This window comes from Homo sapiens, chromosome 18 (genome assembly GCF_000001405.40).
Source record: "Homo sapiens chromosome 18, GRCh38.p14 Primary Assembly".
Classification (NCBI taxonomy): domain Eukaryota; kingdom Metazoa; phylum Chordata; class Mammalia; order Primates; family Hominidae; genus Homo; species Homo sapiens.
Window position 1 is genome coordinate 25,112,231 of NC_000018.10, and position 26,935 is coordinate 25,139,165.

General features: G+C 36.9%; 1 protein-coding gene and 1 long non-coding RNA gene across 11 annotated transcripts in view, besides 1 other annotated feature; one reads left to right on the forward strand and one right to left on the reverse strand.

The window, feature by feature from the left end:
* Nucleotides 1-26,935, reverse strand: part of ZNF521 (zinc finger protein 521) — a 290,243-nt gene that overhangs the window by 50,307 nt on the left and 213,001 nt on the right. The gene's annotated exons all lie outside the window — the stretch shown is intronic.
* Nucleotides 222-1,446: an enhancer, noted in NCBI's record as "VISTA enhancer hs367". NCBI's record gives its function as "enhancer in: midbrain (mesencephalon)[3/10] | limb[3/10]" and the evidence as "EXISTENCE:transgenic organism evidence [ECO:0001131][PMID:17130149]".
* LOC124904269 (uncharacterized) lies at nucleotides 11,708-17,006 on the forward strand. Of its 2 annotated transcripts, XR_007066317.1 has the most exons (4): nucleotides 11,708-11,966; nucleotides 13,790-13,921; nucleotides 14,629-14,731; nucleotides 15,705-16,222. It is a non-coding gene; the product is annotated as an uncharacterized LOC124904269 (long non-coding RNA). The 2 variants fall into 2 exon arrangements; XR_007066316.1 differs by having other exon boundaries at nucleotides 14,629-17,006.

The window sequence follows — 26,935 nt, forward strand, 5'->3', positions numbered from 1 at the left end:
CCAGATATCATCTCAGCTCATGTATGAGGCAGTCGCTAGGGGCCCGTGACAAAGGGGCCTTCGGGTTTTCTCTTTACCTTTGATCTGCATTATGAAATGTTAATGTTCATCCCATCAGGGCCCCTTCCAGAAACACACCCTTTCTAGAAAGGCGTACCCCTGCCCACTACAACTTCCACTCAAATTCACCATTTATATTTAAGTGCTGACTCTGAGCTCATGCCCAGAAGCACTGACATTTTTAAACAGGGCTAGCTAAACTGCTAAATAAAATTTATTGATGATAAAGAGCACAGCTGAGATTAAATTGTGGCAATTTAATAATAAACACACTCCCATCCAGCGCATCTTGCCATTCTGCATACACTTAATGTATGAACCTTGACTCCAAGCATTTTGTCTGTAGTAGGGAATGTGGGGTGCGGGGGGGCAGAGTCCATAGAATCTATAATTTTGAGTTGATTAGGTAGGAAACAACCACAAGCACATATTTTGATATCTCTATTAACAGCCTGTTCGTGTCTAACTGCAAAACTTGGTTGCACTTCTTTCACCATCTTTGCCCAAGACAGACCAGTAAACACAATTCCTCTCTCTATAATTAGCCTTTTCTCTGAGGGCCCTGAAGTAAGTCTGCATGCCGTAGATTTAATATCCAGTGCTATATCCATATGTGCTGCCCTTGCCTGGTCCCAGAGCATATAAACTCCCCTATTAGCAGCCTTGACTGCTTAATTATGCAGATTTTTTTTGTACCCGCCTGCCTGTAAAATTACTGTGTCTAACCTTTTTTTTTTTCCTCTTTGCACCATGCTGGCCATTCTAATGAAATCGGCATAGGGGAAAGGGCCTGATTTGCAGTTATGGAGGCTGGATCGCACTGGCAATCTGTCCTTAGTGGGAGTTACAAAAGAAGTCAAATGCCTTCATCTGGCTCTACCCTATCATCCCCAAGGTGATTGAGTTCACTTCCCGATGCTTCCCAAGTTTTCCTCAGGCTGTCCAATCAGCAGGTCCACCAGGGAGCCCAGCCTAGCTTGCAACAGTCTCTGTATCTAGTTACAGCCCCACCAGGGACAGTCAACCATCCACCCCCAAGCCTTCAGATGAAAACCTTTTCTAACAAGGCCGCCCAGCGCCAATGAAATAACACACATCTGCATATCCACTGGGTCCCATGTTTCTTGTGCTCATGGATTATGTATCTTGCAGCCTCTAATAAAGAAATGCAGTTCTTTGTTTAATGTTTATCTTGTGCTTGTTAAGCAAATGCTAATGTTGTATCAGAATGCTTTAGTGCTATTTAGGTTTTTGGTGATTTACTACAAGACAATCTGCTGTGAAGTAAATTTAGAGAGGGAGAAAAGGGAAAAAATCATTCTGGTTGAAAGGCAGAAAAAGAAAAAGGTTTGACAGAAAAATCAAGGAAAAGGGAATGAGATAGCGTGGAGAGAACGAGGAAGTGGGAGTGTGCTAGAGACAGCAAATGCCTGAGACAGACAGACAGGCAGGCAGACCGAAGGACGGACGGACACACACACACACACACACACACACACACACAGAGACGGGGGAGAGAGCAGGGCCTTACAGAAATCTTCTAGCCCCAGGCTGACATACTCACTCTATCACTGGACAGTTTGAGACTGGAAACTAGAGAATAAACCCAGTACAATTTCCTAAAAAGATGAGATGATAACTTTCCCTTCAGTGATAAGGTAAACAGTGTCCTGAAGGGTAAACAAAAAATAAAAAAGCCTTTTTTTTTTGTTTTCTGCCTTGTGCCCTCATGGTTAGCACTGTGCACTGTTATTCACAGACCACAGGGAAGCCCTAAATTTAATTGTTCATGCCTAGCTCTGCTAGAAATAGGCAAAAATAATCAGAATCTCCCTCCTCCCAATTTCAGGGAGGGGTGGGGGTTGGGGGAAAGAAAAGAGGGTGGCAGCTTGAAAGCTGATGAATGAATGCCCTTTATTTATCCTTTGGCAAGATGGGATATAGATATCCACAGTGCAAACCTTTCATGCCTGCTTTCCAATGCTGCAATACTGGTGGAAAAGAGGATGTCATTTTTATACCAAGAGATTACAAATTTCCCCCTACTCCATATTTTTGATAGGAGTGGTCAAAATGCAATTCTTTAGAGGTCAAATTGGGGAAAACTGAGGTCTATATTTTTAAAAATTACAGCTGTTATAATTTGTTGACAAATTGTGAGGTTAATGAGGTCTTAGATTTCTGGTTTATAATATACAAAGACTAACTGATAAGAGATGATGGAGAGAATAGCATAGTGGGCAGGATAAATAAGTATTTCACTCAGGAAGTACACTTGTCACAAATCATAGTCCTTTTCTTTTCCTCCTCTCTGCACTCCACGAAATAAATCAATAAATTTCCAAAAGGATGAAAAAACTCTAAGTGGGTAAATGAAAAGCAAACACCTACCACACAAATACTCACTCTGTCAAGTGAAAATTACATCCGCATAGGAGAATGCCATGTTAGCTTTCTTCTTGGGTAAACATCTCTATCCTTAACACACTATAGAAGCTAAGGATAAATTTAGTCTTTGTGATTAATACAATTAATTACAAGTACTCTGGTTCTTCAGAAATGCCTCAAGGATGTCACAGAAGTTTTCATTAAAAGTGTCAGCTCCTGCTTCAGAAAATGTATGTGCAACGTAGTTTATTGTTCTTTGCTAATATTCCTTTTGTAAATTCTTGTTTTATTTTTTTTCCTATGAATATTGTTTTCCTTTATAAATTTGCTGTTTTCTAATGGTGTCCTATTAACACACAAAAGCTGAATTCAGGGTCCCTTTCTATGCCAATGGAAGGGAGTAGAAAAGACAGTGAAGGCATCCATTTGTTACTTGAATAACTGGAAATCTATAGTCTGGGATTCTCAAAAGCACTGCCTCTTAAGTCACTGAGGGCTCTCTGCAGAGAGTGAAGCTTAATTACTACCGTGGACATAATTTGGGGATCTGACACTTATTCTTTGAGGGCTGACCAGAAGTCATCAACTTCTTTCCATGATTTCATTTCACTAAATAATACGATCATGGCAGACTTCATTTAGGCTCAAAGCAAATCCTACTGCTGAAAGGTCTTTTTTCCCATTGTCTTAGCCACTTAGTCCCCATTGGGGGCTATTATTAGAATTGGAATTTAATGTATCTCTTTTCCCCTTTAAATTTAACGAATAAAAAAAAACAGAAAAAGAAAATCAATGGCACTTTTCATTAGCTGGTTCTTATACCTATGGCAGGGCATGAATCATGGGCTTTTCTGTTCATAAAGTATTATATAGTAAAGACTCTCTAAATAATAAATAAAAGTAACATGCATGTTTAGATTTGTCTTCTCAGTAACTTATAATGCTTCCCATTCTCATATCATGAATTCACATTACATTCCTGTGAAGCAGTTGTGTTCTGTGTATTACAGTCTCCATTACATACTTAAGAAAACAGAGTTACTAAATTACTAACAAAAAAGTCATTCAGTGATGAATGTTCAAGCCCCAATCTCCTGTCTTCCTCAGGGGAGTGGGTTTTGAGGGAGTTGAGGTTGCTCAAGGCTGGTTGTCTATTCAGCCACAGCTTGCTTTGAGGCAGGGCCTGACTCCAGTGAGTTTACAAAGAGCTTGACCTCAATTTCTCCGCCAGGAAAACCTCAATAATGCTCTAGCTATCCTGGCCTAGACAACCTAATATTCAAAGCAGTATATTAATAGAGATAAGCACTTAGGGTTAAGGTGGTAAAAAGACCAAATATTTGAATAAAATGACATTTTTATTCTGGAACTTTCAGTGACCAGGGTGGCTCAAGAACAATGGGTGACTGAAGCGATCTGTTGTGATGGTATTCTCCTGTGGCACTGGAGCACTGTAGAACTCAGCTGCTAAGAGTTTTAGGCACTCCAGGAAGAAGAAAATGCTCTTATCAGTGGCCCTACCCAGAAGCTGTGCTAAATGATCAGGGGCAATCTGAACTGCCATTGGAATAGAATCCAGGGTGAGAAAAAGACAAGGAGTTGATTGGAGAAGGTGGGTTAGAATGAGAAAGTGGGTTCTTTGGAAGGTGGTGGTTAGATTTAGATAATGGGTTGCATTGGGGTTGAGTGAGACTCCAACTGAGGGCCATTCTGGGAATCAGTTTATTTAAAAATAAACAAACTACAAAAACTAACAAAAGGTAACCCCTTAAACATGGTTTAAAATTATATTTAGAGTACATTAAATCTCCACATTCTCTAGGATCACCCTACACACTAAACCTTGTGGAATGGGAGTGCCACTTGGATTGGCAGAATAAACTCCTACTAGAGCAAACCTCTTGCAGATAACTACTATAAATTTCAGACAAAAGACAAACAATCATCAACCTGAAGGCATTAGCATGTGAATAAAAGCAGGCAGAGTCTGGAGAGTCAACACTTGGATGAAGAAGGGAATAACACAAGATGAATTTCCTCCTTTTTAAAAAAAACATATTTTATACGCATGTGGATGTCAGTACTCCAATAGAAAGCTTCAGTTATGTCTGACTTGAAGAACTAGAAAACATAATTTGGGGCAAGCATAGCCACTGGAAAGTAAGGGGAAAATCTGTTACATATATATATACGTATATATATATATATACGTATATATATATGTGTATATATACGTATATCTATGTATATATATACGTATATATACACATATATATGTATATATGTATATATATGTATATATATATACACACACACATATATATACATACACACACACACATATATATATACATACACACACACACACATATATATACACACACACACACACACACACACACACATACACACATCCTTAATTAGATTGCTTCCAGTCAGTCCTGCTCTTGTATGGTTCAGAATTTGGTCAGGGATTTATGAAGAGTTTGTATACAGTATGTGTTTCCCCATCTCTACCAAGCTCTTTCCTTTCTAGTGTTTTCCCTCACTCTCTCTCTCTGTATAAATAGAGAGAGTGCTGACATTTGAGCTGCGGTCCAAATGATGGTTTGCAGTCTGAGTTCAATAGAGGTACCTGTCTGCTAAAACAAAAATATCAGCCTCCTCTGGAAGAATGTATCAGAATCCATCGTATCCACAACACAACACTTACAATGTCCAAGATACAATTTACAAAGAAAATAGACAATGTGACCTATTTTTAACAGAAAAGACAATTAACTTAGATGTTAGAACTAGCATCCAAGGATTTTAAAGCAGCTATTATAACTATGCTTAATGATATAAAGGAAAATATATTCTTCATGAATGAAAACATAGGAAATCACAAAAGAGGAAAAATAGCCTATAAAAGGGTATCAAATGGAAATTCTTAAACTGAAAATTATAATTTTTGAAATAAAATAATCCCTGTATGGGCTTAACACCTTAATGAATATGATAAAGGAAAAAGTCAATGAATGTGAAAATAGACTAATAGAAATAACTCAAGAGAAATGAACAGAGCCTCAATAACCAGTAGGATAATATCAACACATGGGTAACTGTAGTTTTAATGTGAGAAAGAAAACGGGAAAAAATAATAGTTTAAAAAATAATGGCAAAATGTCCCAAATTTAGTGAAAGATACAACTCTACAGACTCATGAATCTCGCAAACTCCAAGAAGGAAAAGTATAAGAAAACCACATAAGCATATCCTAGTCAAATAGTTCAAAAGCAATACAAAGGGAACATTTTAAAAGCAGGAAAAAACAAAACAAAAAACCTCTCCCCAAATAGAAAACAAAAACAAACCCCAAACTCATAAAAGCATATTACACAGAGCAAAACAATGATTTGAATGATTTCTGTCTTCTCACTAGAGTCAATAGATCTCAGAAGACAGCAGACTAATGCCTTTAAGGTATTAAAATACTACAGAAATCTGTCAACCTATAATTTTATATCCAATAAAGAATATCCTTCAAGAAGGAAGGTGAAATTAAAATATTTCCATATAAGAAAAACTAAGAGAATTTATCTTTAGCAGAACTGAACTATAAAGAGTTCTTCTTCAGACTGATGGGATATTAGACCAGATGAAAGCTTGGGTCTTCAGGGAAGAATTAAGAGCAACATAAACAGTAAATATCTAGTATACATTAAATAATTATTTTTCTTTTTAATTTCTTTAACAAATGTATGATTACTTAGAGCAAAAAATTATAGCATTATCTTATGGGGTTTATTACCTATGTAGACATAATACATATGAAATCTATATCACAGATTGACATATGGTTACAAAGTGTCTACATTTAATAAAAATAAAGTGGTAAGATATTAACTCTAAGGAGACTGTGAAAGTTAATTATATATATTAAAATCCCTACAACAACCACTAAAATAATAAGGCAAAGGGATATAGCTGAAATGCCTACAAATAAATGATAATGGAATTATAAAAACGATTCAGAAAGTCCAAAAGGGGGAAGAAAAGGAAGAAATGACTCAAAAAAATGAGGCAAATAGCAAAGACATGGGAGGCCTAAATCTAACCACATTAATAATTACATCACATTATAATGTACTGAACACTAATTAAAAGAAAGATTGTCAGAATGAATAAAAATGGAAGCTCCAACTATATGATGTCTATAAGAGATACACATTAACAATAAAGAGAAGTTGAAAGCAAATGGATGGAACAAATACATACTACGAATACAGTAAGCATGAGAATGCTAGAGGGGCTATATTAATATCAGACTTCAAGATCATATTGCCAGAGATAAAAAGAGATATTTCATAATGCAAAATAAGCCAACTGCTCTGGAAAATATAACAGACATAAATGTGTATGCACCTAAGAAGAGTTTCAAAATATATAAGGCAAAAACGGACAGAATATAATGAAAAAAAGATAATCTTAACAATTATGGATATTTGAACGTCTCTTAGCAATTAAAAAGACAATCTTATAATCACATATAAATATTTGAATGCCTGCCTTAGCAATTGATAGAACACTAGCTCCCTGCCCCCGCCAATGACTAGACACATAGATGATGATTTCAACAACACTCTCAACCACCTTGACCTAACTGATAGCTACAGAACATTATACTCAACATCTGCAGAATGCATACTGTTTTCAAGTGCACATAATACATTCATCAAGATTGACCATATGTTCACCCATAGAACAAGTATCAATAAATTTAATAGAATTAAAATCACACAGAGTATGCTCTCTATTCATATGGAATTAAATTAGAAATTAGTAACAATTAGATATCTAGGAAAATCTCAAATATTTGGAAATTAAAATTAAAAAATTAAAATTAAAAAAATAATCCATGGGTCCAAAAAGAAATCACAAGGGAAATTAGAATATACTTTGAAAGGAAAGATACTGAAAATTTAATATTTTAAAATTTACGGGATGCAGCTAACACATTTTTTAGAAAGAAATTTAAGAGATACAGATGCTTGTATTAGAAACATAAAATTGTCTAAAACTAATGACTTAAGTTTTACCTTAAGAAGCTAGAAAAAGAAGGGTAAATTAAACGTAAATCAGTATAAGAAAAGAAACAATAAAGATAAAAATAGAAATCAATGAAATACAAAATAAACCATGGAAAAGTTAATAAAATAAGAAAATTGATCATTTGAAAACATCTGCAGAATTGACAAACTTAGCTAAACTGATTGGAAGAAAAGACAGTACAAATTATCAGTATATCAAATTATCAGGAACGAATAAGTGGCACTATTAATCCTATAGATATTTAAAGGCCAATAAGAGAATATTACAATTTTATGCCAACAAATTTGACACAAAATTAAACAGAAAATCTGAACAGCCTTTTTTGTCTATTAAAGAAATTGAACTTATTAAAAAAGGAAGGAAGAAAGGTAGACACAATTCCAGATCAGATGGTTTCATTGGTGAATTCTAACAAGCATTTATGGAAAAAATAACACCTATCTTAAACTCTTCAGAAATTCCTCTTATGAGGTCAGCATAACCTTAATATCAACCCCTTAAACAGATTTTATAAAACTTGTAGGATCAGGCCAGGCATGGTGGCTCACACCTGTAATCCCAGCACTTTGGGAGGCCAAGGTGGGCAGATCACCCGAGGTCAGGAGTTCAAGACCAGCCTGGCCAACACGATGAAACCCCATCTCTACTAAAAATACGAAAAATTAGCTGGGTGTGGTGGCATGCGCCTGTAGTCCCAGCTACTTGGGAGGCTGAGGCAGGTGAATCACTTGAATCTGGAAGCAGAGGTTGCATTGAGCTGAGATCCCACCACTGCACTCCAGGCTGGGCAACAAGAGCAAAACTCCATCTAAAAAAAAAAAAAAAAAAAACCACAAACAAACAAACAAACAAACAAAAAAACCTAGTAGGACTGGCCTATAACCATAATTCAGTCAGCCACATGAGTATACTAAAAGGGACATTGATAGATATAAAAAAAAGGAATAAAAATCAAATAAAATTATTTTCCTTTTCTTATTCTTATTACTGTAATAAACAGATCAACCCCTTTAGAATTAAAAACTGATCTGTGAACAAATACCTTGGCTCCCTTCTTCTCACTTTTGAAGCAGTCTTTTCTCATTACAGTCACTTTCACCTTCACTCTGCAGTAAGACACTGGCAGTGGGGGCAACACAGCATAGACCTGCTGTTCAGGAAGGTGGTAAGAAACCTGGTTCAGGTCATGGGTCATCTATGCTCTCAAGTTTATCTTTCTCAGTAGTAAATTTCATAGTTTGGTCAAGAAGTTTTTGGAGAAAAATCCAAAACAAAAAAATAATACTGAATTTGTTTTTCCTTAACCCCTAAAAAATAGAGTGAAAGGGAAGAAGGAGTATTTTTTTTTTTTTTTTTTGAGACAGAGTCTCGCTCTGTCTCCCAGGCTGGAGTGCAGTGGTGCCATCTCGGCTCACTGCAAACTCCGCCTCCCAGGTTCACGCCATTCTCCTGCCTCAGCCTCCCGAGTAGCCACCGCGCCCAGCCTTCTTCTTCTTCTTCCTTTTTTTTTTTTTTTTTGAGACAAAGTCTCGCTCTGTTGCCCGCGATCTCAGCTCACTGCAACCTCCGCCTCCCAGGTTCAAGCAATTCTCCTGCCTCAGCCTCGAGCAGCTGTGACTACAGGCACCTGCCACCATGCCTGGCTAATTTTTGCATTTTCAGTAGAGACGGGGTTTCACCATGTTGGCCAGGCTGGTCTCAAACTCCTGACCTTGCGATCTGCCCTCCTTGGCCTCTCAAAGTGCTGGGATTACAGTCATGAGCCACAGCACCCAGCCAGAAAGTCTTAAAAAAGTGTTAGATGACATGAAATAACTGCATGTGGAAGTAGAAAGCACCCAGCAGAGTGACCACCATCCCCTTCCCCACCACTGGAGGGGGACAGTGAAGGAACAACAGGAGGGGCTCTGAGAGGAGAAAGTACTGGGTAGAGTATGCAGAAGGGTGTTGCATCAGTAGTGCGGAAAAATTAGCCCTAAATTAAAGGTTGCTCTGCAACTCCTCCCCCCAAATATAAATAAGGCCTCAAAGGATCAAACTATTACAAACTTAACTTAACTGCTTCCCAAAACAAAGCTCAAGAGTAGTTATATAAATACAAAAATATCCAGTACCCAGCAAGGTAAAATTCACAATGTCTGGCATCCAATGAAAAATCACCAAACACGTAAAGAAGCAGGAAAATGCAACACATAGGGCAAAGCAAAAAATCAATCAATATTAACTGACACAGAAATGACACATGATAAAATTAGTAGAAAAAGACATTAAAAAAGCTATAACTACATTTCTGTGTATTCAAGACATAGAAGAAACACTGAAGGTGTTCAATAGGGACATGAAAGAGATAAAAAGATCCATATTGAACTTGAAGAGATGAAAAATACAGATGGATTTAACAGCAGATTAGACATTACAGAAGAAAAGATTAGCAAATTAAAGACAGAGCAACAGAAACTATCCAAAATGAAACAGAGAGACAAGGTAGTGAAAAAAAATGAACAAAGTATCAATGAACTGTGGGACAATTTCAAGTGGCTAATATACCTATGACTAAAATCCCTGAAGGAGATGTACAGAAAAATATCTGAAAAATAGGTAACTGTCAAGTGACAGAGTGTCATGAACATTCAGATAATTTAAGTTATAATTTTTGGTATTTTCATGGTTTTAAGTATATACTATATTCTGAATATTGTACCTAAAATTATATTCTACCTGGAAATGTCTAATATTTATTTAAAAACAAGCCCCAATGTAAAATCTAGAATTACATATATCCTATCAAATAAGTGAGTGACTTTTAGAATATATTCAAGAAGTAAAGTGAATTTCTAATATAGATTTATCTCCACTTTTTATGGACCTGAATGTTGATCTATTACTGATGAAGCAGTTAAGAAATTTAATGTCTCACTTCTCCCTCTGATTGGAATGCAGGTAGCTTGTGAATGTGAAGAAAAGAAATAAATTTTGGTTGTGGGTGGCACAGAAAAAATTGGTAACTTGTAGTATAAGTATTATCAAAGAAAGAATAGAAACTGACAAGTTTTAGATCATGATGAAAAAAAGGAAGGAGAGAAAAAAACATCAGGAACTAGCTTACAGAATGGGACATGAAACTTGGTCCAGTGTGGCAGTGGGGAAGGTGTAATTCACACGCACTCAGCCAGTCACAGGTGTTTTGGTTTGGTCAAATATAGAGCCCTTAACTTAGGATGAGATTCTATCTGCTTCTTAAGCTAGATCTACTGTAAGTGGTGACCATTATACCAAATATTAAAAATATAAACTAGACATTCCTCTATTTGGGGTTTGGAAGATTATTACAGAGATGTCTAATAATTATCTGTACTTACAAATGACTCATTATATGAGTCATTTGTAAGTACAGATAATTATTAGAACAAAGAAGTAAGAGAAGCAAACACTGTTTTGTTTTGTTTTTGCCTCAAAGATTCACTTACAGACCACATCGTCAGGGAACTGTTGTAAAGCATGCTATATTTTTTCCATAGTCACAATGGCATTACTGGGGACTAAATTATTGAGTCAAGACTCAGTTTAAAAGAAAACACAGAAATGATAAAGAAAATGACATAAGGACAAAAGGGAAAGTGACAAACCTCCTCAGTCAATTGAAATAATTCCGTGAAATAAGATTAATGTTTTCCAAGTCAAAAACCTTTAGAGCTAAAGTACCTTCAAGCAATCTCCTCATTTCCTGATAGTAAAGAGATTAACCTAGGTGATGCAACTATTCACTGTAAAGGAAGAAACTGAGTTGCAAGTCTCCTCAATCACAACCCTGAGCCTTGGTTGTTGCATTCTCCAGTTTCCTTGCAGAGGGAAGGGAGGGAGAGTAGACTGTATGCAGTGATTTTACAGAGGACTCCAGTGCACTTTAAAGTGCGTATTAACATTCATAAAAATACACTTTCTAATATAACCTTGACCTACCTTGACCTAATGTGCTTTCTATAAGAAACATGAATTCCATATTTAGTTACTAATGGTTTGGGGTTCTCAGAATTTAGAAACATTTTTGCCAGATGCTGGTTTGGATGATAGAGGATTTTTTAAAAGATCTTCTCATGAAAGAAATGATCCCTTCTTTAACCTTTTTGATAAATCATCACCTTTAGCTTTGTAAACAATTCAAATTCACTCGACTGATTGTTATTTCCATAAGCCATCATTCCAGTATCTTGTAGAGATATACTTGCGGGACTGGGAGCCAAGAAATCTGTGTCCTGGCCCCAGTGCTGCTTGGAGCCTGCGTTAAGTGATGGAACATTTATGGATCTCAGCTTTCTTATGAAAACAAGAAGCCGACAGAATGCTCTTTTCTCTAAATTTCTATTATTTTCAACTGCAAGAGCGAGGAGAGCAAAAATCTCTAGTCATCTTTTATTTGTAACTGGGTAAGTTTTTCTTCTGTTCCCCTTTCTGTACCCATCAACAAGTAGAAGGATCTGTGAAGAGATACAGGATGAGGAGGAGGTGGGGAAGAACTAAAGTAACTACCCTAATTTTGTATACCTTTTAGTTTTAACAACAGCTGCAGTCCTGCTTCATTTTTTCTCCTTAGCTTACTGGCCACTGGGTCCTGCTTCAGAAACTAAGTAACACATGAATAAAGTCATGGCAATTGACTGCTTTTCATAAGCAGATCATTTGGTGAAATGATAAAAGTTGAAGAATTGAGAGTGCCTTTATGAATTTACAGTGTAAATATAAGCTAATTTCAGAGCCATCCTTTATTTTTTGCTTCTTCTATTTGTACTGAACATTTCCCCCTTTTCTTGTCCTTAACTCTTACTCAGATTTCCTTCTCCATTTTTGTCGTATTGCTGTTCTTGTGTTGTGCAAACTTTATCTTATTTTCAATTGGAGAAACAAATAAATGACTTAACTGTGCTGACAGTTAAAATGCTAGTAAAAATTCTATCTATTTAAGTTACATCAAATAAGCAGAGATATTTTGTTCCAAACAAATTAACATCTATGTCAAATACACTCCTCTAACAGTGTTGATACAGCTTCCAAAGCTCCTGATTTTAAACCATAGGTGTTAGAAAGATATATGTGCAAATGTTTTGAGCTATATAAATCCAAGCTATGCTCACAGTAACAACTAGTTCTACTTCAAGTAGTTTTATATTGCTTATGGAAGTGTTATTATGGCATTATGTTAAAACATTCAACCAAAATTTCCTGGACACCATTTATGAGCACAGTATATATAAAAGTGATTTCAATTAGTTGATATTATGTGTCTACTACAAGTACCTCAAAGAGTATGCATGGATCCGATAGTATCCTGGAGGTATAAATTCACCCTCCACATAATATTTGATCCCATAAATCTAGCAGTTTATACCTCAAAGGAAACGGTGGATTTTCTTCTGTTTTTATTTTCAGTGAAATTTGAATCTTATCTAGCCACATGGGAATATGATAGACAATAATCCATTGTTGAACATTAGTCTTATATTTATCTAATTTATTGATTGAATGAAATGAGGTCTTTGATTCAATTCAACAGTTTGGCATTTTACACTTTTCAGTTTATAGAACTGTTTGATTAACAATAAATTTCAAAACAGTCTATTCATATTAAGAAAATTAGGCCCAATACTAACAGATATCAAGACATACCTCATGTTCAATTTGTGGTTTAATCTCTCTTCCTAAAATGAAACAGTAATTGGTAAACCATCTTGAATAGGTCTTGTGTGTGTATGTGTATATGTGTGTGTGTATGTTGTGTGTATTAAACAAGTTTGATTATGGGTTAGTAGGATTGCATCAGCTATCTCTTTGACTATGTGGCATCCAATAAGTGGGCACTAATGGTGTGTGTGTGTGCGTGTGTGTATGTATGTGTAATGGTGTCATGCACTTTCTCTAGGGAATTTCTCCAGGATAGATTTAGTTTTCAAAACTGCTTTTTTTTTTTTTTAAATACTATAAGCAGAAAGGTATGATTTGGTTGTGGTTTTGCTATTATTTCCAAGAAATAAACTTGCTTGCTATCCAGTAGTGGCTGGCACTTTAAGTTTTAATGTGGATATTAGTCCACATTTTGCAAGAATTTGGCCATTACTCAAGTATGAAGTTAGGAAATTGTATATTTTATCTGACATTCTATTTCTAGTTGTAGCAAGCTTTTTGGCGTCAGAATATTTGTGCACCATATTCCCCTTCAATGGTCCTCATAAATGTTATGTTTGCCTTTATACAGTTTTTAGTTAGGAATTTGGATCCTAGGAAGAGCCTCAAGAAACTGGATAGACTCCTCTAGGACATCTCACAGGAATGAATAACCTTGAAAACTTGAAAGTGGATTCGACTACCTGGTGACACAGACCACATGGTAATACACGAGCAATTTTCTCTAACCCCTAAACAGGTCTCACAAGCAATCTTTGGTTTCTCAACACTTTTTTCCCAATTAAATTGACCAGAAAATATCCTTCTTTCCTTCTCCAGCATCTAACTTTTTAAGTTGCAAACTCATAAATGAAGTCAGGCTATTGATATTATGCTTACATTCTACACAGTAATATTATAAATTTAAATGAAGCAATATCTACTCTGTGTTCTAGTTCCTCAAATGAATAGTTTATTCCACATAAAAAGAGGGATTATTAATAACAACATTCTGTTTTTCTATTCCCTCTGTAGTTTCAATTAGTTATACAGATATTTACTTCCTTCTCTGTACCTGTGTCATATTTAAAAATCTTTATTCAACTGAAGAAGCAGCTCTGTTTTGTGAAGTAAGTAAAGTCACTCATGAATAACGTTTACCTCCTGGGGACTATTAAAGGACTGAATAGGAGCCACATACAACCATTCTAGAAATATCTATTTAAGTGGATAAAAGTCTTTTTATACTTTAAAATTTCCTACATTAGAGATAAGCACAATAAGATAAATCTTGGACATCAGGAGAAAATTCTACTTCTAATACCTACAGTGATTAATGTGTTATTTGGAATGTAACACAAAATTAAAAATTAAAAAAACCAAAGAATTAAATTATTGTAATTACTGCACTTGTATTTTTTGGCACTGCAGGAAAGGACATCTTAGTCTGATAGCCTCCAGCACCATAAACTTGGATAAGCCATCTGACCTCTCCAGGACTTGGTTTATTCATTTGGGCCAAGTGACTCATAAGGTCTGTGCCAGATCTAAAAACATCATGGGTTTGTATTATTGGTGGGGAATACTTTAATAAAGCTCAGATTGACAAATGTTGCAAAGCTATACTTTAAATACAAAGACACGCCATACTATTAATGAGTGATTGGGCTGGGGGATGCAATTGAGGGAGGAAATATGATGTGGAAGCTGTTTGGGGGAAGTGAAATAATCAGTTTGAAAAGGAGATTTTTGTGTGGGTAGATAACAAAAACCTTACAATGGATATAAAGGTCAGGTTGTTGAAGGTCCTGAACTTTAAAATAGGGGATTTAGATTTTGATCTGTAGGTGACAGTAGTAGGACAAGATACAGAGTGGGATAAAGAGGACCGACATAGAGACTTCCTAGCAGAGTAATAGCATTAATATTAACAATGGCTAAATTTTATTAAGCACTTACTATATGCCCAGCATAGATCTACATCCTCTACATGTATTAACTCATTCAAATAATGGAAATAATAACTTTAGGATGTTAGGTACTATTATTAATGCTTTCGTTAAAAAAGGAAACTGAGGAAAAAGGAGAATTTATGCAACTTGCCTAATCAAAAACACAATAATGTTTTAGAAAAAGACCTAAAAAAAGATACGATCCAGAATGATTTGGAAAGGAGCCAACAAATATGAATTTATATTCAGAAATTTGAGTTTTGGAAAATATTGATTGCATTAAGAGAATATATGTACATTTCAAGTGTGGTAATCACTTATAATAATTTTGCTTTTGAAGAGCATGCACGGACTGTTTTATAGTCATGTTTGTGAGTTTAAGAGTACATGTATTAAAGAAAAATAAATTAAAACAAAAAAATTAACCCAATCCAAAACAGACTTGGTTGATTTGGTCTCTGTGGAAAAGAAAATAAATAATGGATAATGGAAAATAGTGAAATGTATCAAACATCGAAGAAACAAATGACACCAATTCTCTAAAATTTGTTTCAGAAAACAGAATCAGAGAGAACATTTCCCAACTCATTCTATGATGCCAGCCTTTACCTAATACAGAAACCAGACAAAGACATTACAAGAAAGGAAAACAATAGACCACTATGCCTCATGAACACAGATGAAAAATATTCTCAATAAAATATTAGCAAATTGAATCCAACAATACATAAAACAATTATACCGTATGACCCAGTGGGATTCTTCTAGGTATGCAAGGCAAGTTCAACATTTGAAAATCAGTTGATGTAATCTATCATGTCAAGAGACTAAAGAAAAAAAAAATCGTATCAACAGATACAAAAAAAGAATTTGACAAAATCCAACATCCATTCATGATAAAAACTCTGACAAAACTAGCAATAGGGGGTAACTGCTTCAATTTCATGAAGAATATCTACAAAAATCTATAACTAACATCATACCAGTGGTAAGAAGCTAGAAGCTTTCCCTCTAAGATCTGAAACAAGGCAAAGATGTCTCCTCTCAACATTCCCTTTCAATATCATACTGAAAGTTGTAGCTGATATAAGAAAAAGATAAAAAATATACAGACTGGAAAAAAAGAAATTAAAACTTTGTTTACAGAATACGTGATTGCCTATGTAGAAAATCCCAGAGAATCAACCACAACGAAGAAAATCCTGGAACTAATAAGCAATTACAGCAATGTTGCAAGATACAAGGTTGATATACAAGTCAACTGCAGTCTTACATACAAGCAATGAGCAATAAGAATTTGAAATTGAGAACACATCATTCATATTAATTTCAAAAAATTTAAATACCTACGTATAGACCTAATGATATATGTACAAGGTCTATATGAGATAAACTACAAAACTCTGATGCAAGAGATTTAAAAAGATCAACATAAATGGAAACATATTTCATGTTAATGGAAAGAACAACTCAATATTGTTAAGATGTCAATTCTTCCCAACTTGACCAATAAATTTAACACAATCCCAATCTAAATTCCAGCATGTTATTTTTGTGGATATTGACAAAAAGATTCTATAGTTTATACAAAAGGCAAAAGAACCAGAATAGCCAAAATGATACTGAAGAAGAGCAAAATCAGAGAACTAATGCCACTCAACTTCAAGACCTATTATAAAACTACAGAAATCAAGATAGTATGGTATTAGTGAAAGGACAGACAAATGAATCAATGAAGCAGAATAGAGAGCCCCGAATTGATTCACACAAATATAGTCAACTGATCTTGGACAAAGAAGCAAGGGTAATCTAATGGTGAAAGTATAATTTCCTAAACAAATGATGCTAGAACTAGACTTTCACACGGAATAATAATAATAATAATAATTATTATTATTATTATTAATTAATCTGTGTCTAGATTTCTAGACACAGATCTTACACATTTCACAAAAACTAACTCAAGATGGATCATAGACTAAATGTAAAGTACAAAATCAAAACTTCTAGAAGACAACAGGAAAATCTAGGTACCGGGTGTTTGGCAATAAATTTTTAGATAGAACACTAAAAGCATGATCCATGAAAGAAAATTCAAGAAGATAAGCTTCATTGAAGTTAAAAACTTCTGCTCTGCAAAAGACAATATTAGGAGATTGAAAAGATAAGCTATATAATGAGAGAATATATTTGCAAACACATGTCTGATAAAGGACTTGTATCTAAAATATGTAATAGTCTTAAGATCCAGTAATTAGAAAACAAACAACTCAATTAGAAAGTGGCGGGGTGGGGGGTATGATCTGGACACTTCACCGAAGAAGATACACAGATGGCAAATAGGTACATAAAAAGATGCTCTGCATCATGTGTCATTAGTGAATTGTGAACAAAAATAATGATGAGATAGCACTCTGTACCTGTCAGAATGACTGATTTCCGAAACACTGACAAAACCAAATGCTGGCAATGATGCTGAGCCACAGAAACCCCCATTTATTGTGGTGGGAATACAAAATTATACTGCCTCACTGAAAGACAGTTTGGAGCTTTCTTATAAAGCTAAGCATAATATTAACATATTATTTCAGCAATTGAGCTCCTAGGTATTTCCCCAAATGATTTGAAAATGTATGTCCACACAAAAACCTGCACACGAATGTTTACAGCAGCTTTAGTTATAACTGCCCAAACTGGAAGCAACAACTAAGATGTCTTTCAATAGATAAATGAATAAATGAAGTGTGGTATGCCAATTTAATGGAATATTATGCAGCAATAGAAAGAAATGAGCTATCAAGTCATGAAACACATGGATGAATCTCAAATGCATATTGTAAGTAAAAGAAGCCAGTCTGAAAAGCTACATCCTGTATTATTCCAAGTATATGACATTCTGCAAAAGGCAAAACTATGGAGACAGTAAAAAAAATATCAGTAGTTACTAGGGCTTCAGGGGAAGGAGCAGAGGGATGAGTAGATAGAACAAAGAAAATTTTTTGGGCAGTGAAACTATTCTGTAAGATACTATAATTGTGGACACATGATATGCAAAATCTATAGAACTGTGCAAAACAGAGTGAACCCTAATATAAACCGTGAACTTTAATGTATCATTATTGGTTCATCAATTGTAGCAAATGTACCATACCACTGCAAGATGTTAATGATGGGAGAATAAAGTCATGGGGGAAAAACAATATGGAAATGGTACTTTCTGTTAAACTCTTTTGTAAAACTAAAACTGCTTTAAGAAAGTTTATTCATTAGAAATAAATCCAGCCCAGGCACTATGGCTCACACTTGTTATCCCAGCACTTTGGGAAGCTGAGGTGAGATGATTCCTTAAGGCTAGGAGTTGGAGATAGGCCTGGGCAACATAGCGAGACCCCATCTCTACAAAAAATTCAATAATTAGCCAGGTGTTGTGGTGCATGCCTGTAGTCCCAGCTACTTGGGAGGCTGAGGTGGGAGGATCACTGGAGCCCAGCAGTTTGAGGCTGAAGTGGGTTATGATCACACCACTGCACTCCAGCCTGGGTGAAAGAATGAGATCCTGTCTCTAAAAATCAATCAATCAATCAATCAATCAATCAATCAATCCTACACAATCCAAAATATATCTTTTTTTCCGATTGGAGAGTCTCCATGGTATACTTATGTGGAAAATGAATAGTGTAATCAGAAAAGTTTGGTAGCAGCCACAGAGAACCAAAGGGAAGAAAGCATGAGAAAGAGAAGATTGCTTCTTACTGCTCCTGTGGCTTCCAACAGTGCCCTCAATCCACTCTGATGCCAGAATGACCCTGTTACAAGAAAATCTGAACATATCACCCTCATGCTCAAATTTCATCAAGAAAACCATGGGCTGCAAGATAAAACTTAAAGTCCTTGGCATGGCATACAAGGTTCTTGATGGTCTGGTAAGGCTCCATTTCTCTGTCCACCCTGGATCATTTCATTCCATTCATCCCACGTACAATTTTCCCAAGAAGTTTTGTACACACAGGAAAATCCTTCCTTGGCCTTGCAAATTCCAGCTCATTCTTCGAATATTAGTTAGGGAGTTCTCTTCCTAACGAAGTGTCCCCTAAGCTTCCCAGGCAGTCCTTGTCAAATACTTTTTCCTGTGCTCCAGTTGATCATGGTACCTAGCTTTCCTAAGACAAATATCTATCATGACATAAATATTCATTTGCATGTCTGGTGCCAAATTTGACCCAAGCTCCTTTAGAAAACCACTGTGTTGCATTTGTCTTTATATCCCTCGTATCTAGCCCAGAGCCTTGTACATAGTAGGTGCTGAATAAATGCTTGTTCAGTAAACATCGGGAGGTGAATCTTCAAGCTCTGATTCACCACAACCTCTATAGTAATATCCTCTAGTTAATATTTTAATAGTTCACACTTCTCTAATTCTCACTTGTATATATAGTGAACTCTTGATTATACACCAGAGGATTATTCCACATTGTAGTTTAGTGTAGCAAATCTTACTTTTAACTTCTTGTTGACATCACCAGCTGTTTACTTATGTCCTTCATTGACATTGTCGCCAATTCCATCTACTTTTACTCCTGTATGCAGCCAAGAGCATGGCAGAAGCTAGAAAGAAAGGATTTTTTAAAAGTTACACATACTTATTTGCCTCTCCCTACCCAAGATTCTGGACTTAAAGGCACAAGAGATCCCAAAGTCAGAAAAAGGAGGTTATCAAGGTAAGCCAGATAAAAACAGTGATGAAAGGGGCAGCTACTTGAGTGATGGTGTGAAACGGGAGTACTGGGAACATTTTTCTGGGAAAAGGATCTTCATCACAAACTACAAATCTTTGAATAACTTTTAGGATATGCTCCTCAACAAAGAATCCTACATTTCCACCTACTGTATCTTCTAAGCAGACTAGTGTTTTATAACTTCTAACTTTTTCCATTTCCTTGGAGTCACTAACTTGATGACTGCAATAAATGGTAGGATGTTTAGGAATAAAACATGAGCAACTGCACACTCCTGAAATAATCATCTATTAAACACTGTCTTCCATTTCAGACTGCTAGTAAAGAGAAAAATAAATACTTTAATTTCAGGCACAATTTTGTTTTGTTTTGTTTTATGTTTCCCTGAGTATGTGATATGAAACTATTTTTTAATGTCATTTACATTAAACTCTGGCACTGCTGGCTGTGCTTTACATTCTTCTGAAGGCTCCCAGTAGTGATTCCTCTTTTAAATTTAAAAGCCTAATGAACCCAGATTTTAAAAAGTAGCTAATATTGGGTTGAGGGCCAAACAATATAATGATGCAGAGCTACTTGCATTATTCCTGGAGCTATTTGATTTTGACAAGCCCACATTTGGTAATTAACATGAGAATGCCCCCTTGGGCCGTTCTCCTGTTAGCTAAAATATCTTATAAATTACTGTAATAAAAGGGGAGAAAAAGGAACACGCTGCCTGTCAATGTTTCAACTTATCTAGCAAGAGGAGGAGACAAAGCCCCGATCTGGAAACATACAGATGCCAAACGGGAGCATAAATTCTACCGTCTGCCCCGATCTGAGAGTGGAACCTATTCAACAGCAGGACATGTGTGCGGCATCAGCTGAGTTCCCGAAGCAAAAGGTGTGTTGGTCTGTTGGATGGGCGGTCTTGGTAGGTTTCCTAATTGCCGCTTAGTCAGTGATATCACATTATCTGCTAAATGCCAGGTCAGTGGACACAGTACCTACAATTGAGGAAGCAGCTTCATATATTCCATTTCAAGGTCTCTTGGTAGAGTTCAATAAATAATACCATCTACCAGTATTGTCAAATGCAGTTGAATTTATTATCCTAATCTAGATGAATGTATTAACATGGCCTAATATAGATTCTACGTGCATTTGTGGTTAAGAGTCAAATGTCTCCCCTCACTACTTCTGTTTGCTCCCATCTGGCTATGAGCTTGTAATCAGCTAAAGGAACTGGAAGTGGACAAATGAGCAGGTTTTACAGTTCATTTTCTTGAGGCTAAGATTTGGCAATGATGTAATTTTAATTCTGGCAAGAAGTAACAATCTGTGACTATTTCCTTAGAATTGACTTTTCAAATTCTTTAAGACCTCACTTTCTTTTCTCTTTCACCCACATAACCATTTATCATCTGATTATAGACATATAAGCCACTAAAAGATAATTATGATACAAGTAATAAATTCTTCCTAGGTAATGGAGACTACTGTGTATCTAAACATATCCATATATGCAACAATGCATACAAAAATAAACTTTATTTTCTCACACTATAGTTTTACCTCCTGTTACCAAATCAACTTTATTATCATCAATTTATTTTAATCTAGGACATTAACCACATTATTTTGAGTCGACAGCAGCTGCTGATTGAACAATAGTTTTCAACATTCTATTACTTAGGGTCTCTTTTTTTTTAATGTTTTAGTTAAAGGCCTGAGGGAATCAATGGGTATAATGTGTAGACTTATTGATAAAAATTCTGAGCCTGCAATAGAATATAGCTCAAAAATAGCTGTGTTTAATCCATAGCAGACATAATTTGCTACTAGGGCTGAATTTTAACAGGAACAGATCCAAAATCATGTCAGTGTTCCCATTTTTGTGCCACAGAGTAATGACATTTAATCAGGAATATTACTACACTCTTTTGGTGACAGCTGAGACACAAAACCAGCCAGCTGATGCAATTCCTGTCTTACTGCTGGCGGCCTATAAACAGCAACTACAAACAGGAAGCTGCCTTACCTCTTGTATCCTAACAGACGGAATTTTAAAGAACAAGGCTTGCAGAGTGGCTGCAAGTACAAGTCATCAGGCTTCCTAAAGACTTCTGGAACCATCCCACAGTCTCCACACATCCCTGTGGCCAAAGGAAGCTTAAGGAGGAAACTGTTCTAGATCTTTTGATGTAATGGCGCTGCAGTCACCAGGTGTGAGGCAACATGAGATTTGCAGAATATAACCACCATAGCTACTGCTCAGTTAGATCGATGGCCTATAATTACCTGGGAATTACTTGGACACAAATCAATGGTGTATTGTGTCCCATTCCTAATGAGCAGGGTAACTTTTGCCTGGTCTGTGAACATTATGATAAAGACAATATTCCCATCTGCTTACTCTGCCTTCTACTACCTGCCCAAACTGCATCTGATGTAGCCCAGCAAGACTGGGGATGTGGGAAGCGGACTTCAGACAGCAAGGAATTGGGGGTGATGTGTTCCAACTCCAAAACAATTTTTATTGCAGCGGTTGCAGCTTTTCACTCCATCCCAATCTGGACTAAGACTGACATCTCTGAGATAAAAGGCTCCATTAGATGTCTTCAGTTTGGCCAGCCTCCTCCCCTGGCCACGCCCCAAGGGATCCAGGCACATTCTGATGACATCCATCAAGCTCATGATTCCAGCTCAACACTTTGCAGCAATTTCTCCATCTTCCAGCTACCACAAAAAGAGGGGTGGGAGGAGAAGATCCAAGCAAGTGGTGGGGAGGGGGTGCTTAGTGCTATTTGATCAAACACAGAATGTACGGCCCCATAACTAAGCTGCCACAAACACACCACTCTATCCTGTAATACTTCTTAAAAGTAAAGGAACTGAGCTGGAGTCCTGCTGGATTTCCCTTAGCAACTTGACAGGAGCCCACAAGGTCAGCTAGCAGGAAGCGTAGAAAATTATACAGTGGGGAATTATCAGCTAAATTATTTCACTATACTCAGGATTTTTACTGTTCTTGCCAAGACAGTGGCCTCTTGCTACCCAGATTAGAAACATGAATAAAAGGACAAGAATGACAAAAGGAGGGGGAAAGAAAAGAGAAACATTTTAAATGGCTTCTTTACCTTATTTTATATATGTACACATACATACATGTATATGTATACGTGTGTGTGTGTGTGTGTGTGTGTGTGTGTGTATGTCTTTGTTTTGTTTTAATGCAACTCCTTGAGGCTACTGCCCAGAAATCCAACCTGCTTGTTTTCCTTCTCTGGCCATAATGTTTCTTTTCCTTTTTGTTTGGGTTGGAAGGATGATGGGGGTTGGGCTGGAGACGGCTCCATGACCAGGTTTGCTACACAAGCCACAGCAGCAGGAGCAAGCATGATTTATCAATTAACAGGTAATGAAAAAAATTCTCTGCAATTAAAGATATGATTTTGCTCAAACAGGAAGCAGCACCATACAACTGTGTACCCCTCTGAGGAATACTCAGCTCCCGTCACTAATGTGGAGCACAGCTAATTTTAACAGAGTGTGTGTGGGCCCCTTGGGGGACTCCTTGTTGATGAAGGAATATACAGTAGGGAACCCCCAGAGGACCTAGCTGATTGGAGAGCCCCAGGAAAGGTGTAGGGAAATTACATTTCCTGTTTCTTAGGAGAGTTATTAAAGGGAAAGGCAGCTTTAATCACTGAAAGACCAGTTGCTGTATTATTTTTGATTTATATACCAAAACAATACCCTTTATTCCTTGGTTGCTTTTTAATATATATGTCAGCTTAGTCAATATTATATTTCAGTATAACATATAAACAGCTGTAAGATCTTGTTAAAAACGTGAAGGCTTTTGAAAGATTATACAAGATAAAATACATTATTGCTACTCAACAAAAAAATCAGAGAAAATTAAAGTAGACAGAAATATTCCCCTTTTTCCCTTCACATAAATCAATAAGCTATTTTGTTAAAAGAAATGCACCAAAAATTTCGTAATAATATATAAAAAAAGTTGTTGGCTTCCCAATGTTTTCTTCTTCTGGATATACAGTTTCTTTGGAAAGAAAAATTTCATTTCTATGCAATTAATGCAGAAAGTGCATAGTGATTTGTTGATATTATGTTCATGCCAATTTGTTTAAAATACTTCTATATAGTCCCTATTTTACATCAATATTTTAGTAAGCTTTGGAGATAGAGGAGTTTTCAGATCACCTAGTTCAACTCTTTCACATTTCAGGTAAGAAAACAAGAGTCAGAAAGGCTAAGTATTAAAAACACAACAATAATAACAACAATAATGTCTAACATGGGTTGGGTAATTACTGTTAGGTGCTGCTCTGAGCTCTTTGCATATGTGACCTCATTGAATTCTTTCTATAGCCCTTTGAGGTATTACTATTATTATCAATGATCAGTTTTATTGTTTTCATAGAAGGAGAGGTTCAGGTTGAGAAAGGGTGAATGACTCACCCAAGACCACGTGAGAAGGGCAGAAGCAGGGAGTGGGAAGAGGGATTCCTGACTCCAGGGACACCAGAGTTAATCACTAGGCTACGCTGTCTCTCCTGTCATGCACTGATTACAGAGGTGTGGGCACCAGACGCCAGATCCTTTGTTTTGGAGTCTAGTAATAAAACAGAAAATTATTTCATTCCATTAGATTATGTTGAAATATTCTCCGCCCCAAAAGATCACCCACAGAGCTGAATTTCAAATTGAAAGTTCCTATATGAATTTGAACTGTTAAACCAAATGGGACACCACATGTGTGTGTGAGTGAGTGTGCCGAATGTGGTTGTTGGACTGGGGGAATACAAGAGACCTTGGGAAAAACACAGGCAGGGAGGCCTGGTTCCTGCTGCTGTGCCCTCTGACCTCCCAAAAGGATCCTCCTCTGTCTCCTTGTAACCCCCAGGATGAGTCTCGCCACACCACAGTCCAGTCCAAATCCGATTACGTCTATAAAAACAAGTGTTCCATTTCTGGTGCTTTTTAAATGTAATTGAAAGACTGCGTCTTCCTAAAACAGCCAAAATCTATAACCCTTCTTGCTAATGTCCTTCCTGAAAACTCCTCTGCTTGCCAAAGCAGTGTTAAAGAACAACCACAGTGTATGGCATGAGTGCAAATAGCTTTCCTTTTAAAACACAAACCAAAATAACCTTTACAATCCAGCAGCTATAAGTGGTGGAGAAGGCTCCTTCAAACCCTGCCCCACAGTATCACCTCGGGCAAAGGTTTCTCTACTGTTAGAACTGGGATATTTGGAAGTAGGCTGCCCCTACAAGCTTTGCTCTTGTTTCTTTGGCGGATTCCTCTGACAGTTCCTAACTGTATTATCAGGATTTGTCTCGCCGGTAATGGCCAATTCATTTGTATTACCACATTTAGACCTTCCACTAAGCAGACAATCACAGGTATGAAGACTGGTCCCATGGAGTCCAGTGCAGCTGACTGATCTGACTGGCTCAGAGGAAAATGTCAGCAGGAAATCAAGTCCGTCTTCTTCATTTTTCCTGTCCAGATTCTGCACTTCCTTATGGACAAGCAGACAGACAGAGCACATGTGTGTGCACACACACTTCCTAAATCCCAGCAGTGAGCCTCAACCTCATTGGGGAAGAACTGGGACAGACATCGAGTCCAACGCCTTCATTTAACAGCTGAGGAACCAAGTCCCAGAGAAAATAAGAGACTTCCATGTGTTAGTTAGTAAGTGGCAAAGCTAGCGTTTGATCCTAAGGATGCCTAATCCTAAGGCCACCGTTCTTTATGCAGCACTGTTTTACTAAAAGCAAAAAAAGTCTTTATTAATGGGGGTGTTCAGAAACTCTCCTTCTGTAAGCCCTTGTTTAGTGACTCCATTTTACAAGCAATCAATTTCTCAGGTCTTTCTTAAGTAAGGACTTCCACACAGACATCCTCACCCACTGGGATAGGGCCTCCGCTGGTAGAACCAGACACAAAACAGTACCAAGGACTTCCTGGGAGACTGAGGAACCAGCAAGCCCAACCTTGCCCACATGCTTCATACTCTGGTCCAGTTCCAGGGCTGATACCTCCCAGGGATTCAACTGCTATGCTTTGAATACAACTGAGAATATTAAAGGCATCTACTCTCTCAGCATCTGAAAACAGAGGGTGTCAAAGACCTCAACATATTTCAAAGAACTTGTGAAGGAAAACAAATATCGGAAAGTTATTTTGAGGTTCAAAATTTTGAAAGAAAAAAGATAACCCTGAATAATATTCTAATTTTTATAGGTACAATTTGTACCTATCTTTCCATAGATGAGAGAGGTGGCACACGAGAAACGGATCATTAAACAGTAGTGTGAAACCAGGGAAATTAACCAGCTGGTGTGAAAGCCACCTCTTATTCTCTGAGAAAGAGAGTGGAGGGTGGGGGTGGGGAGGACAGAGCTCAGGAAAAGCAGGAAGAAAGGAGCTGATTTCATCGATAAAGCATTAGCTTAGAAGTCTGTGGACCATCTCAAAGCTAATGAACAGAAAATGTATGATCAAAAAATAATAGTTGCAGGTGACAGATCTTTCATACTTTTCAAATTATAATAATTTTGTCCTGGAAGAGCCTTAAAGACCATTTCATTCAATGCCCCGATTTAACATAAAAGGAAACTGAGGAACTGAGGTTGAGAGAAGAGAACTGGCTTGGCCTCATTTCCACGTATCAATTTGGTGGCAGGAGCCTGGCCTTGTGATTCCCATCCTATCTTGTGCTCTACCCACGAACACTGCCTTACTCATTCAACAGGCCACAGGGCACTGGAGGGAACTCTGTTAAGTCCAGCAAGTAAGGACATTGTACAAGATGGTTGGGTTTTAGCTGCTGGGATATTTTTCTGTGCAGAAGAAAGGCAAACTCTTTTCTATATCAAGAAGAATCTATATGCCTGTTGGGTTGTTGAGTAAGCGTTCCATGTGCCTCCACCAAGTTAGTAATGCAAAAAGACGCTGGGCACGGTGGCTCACGCCTGTAATCCCAGCACTTTGGGAGGCTGAGGTGGGTGGATGATGAAGTTGGGATTT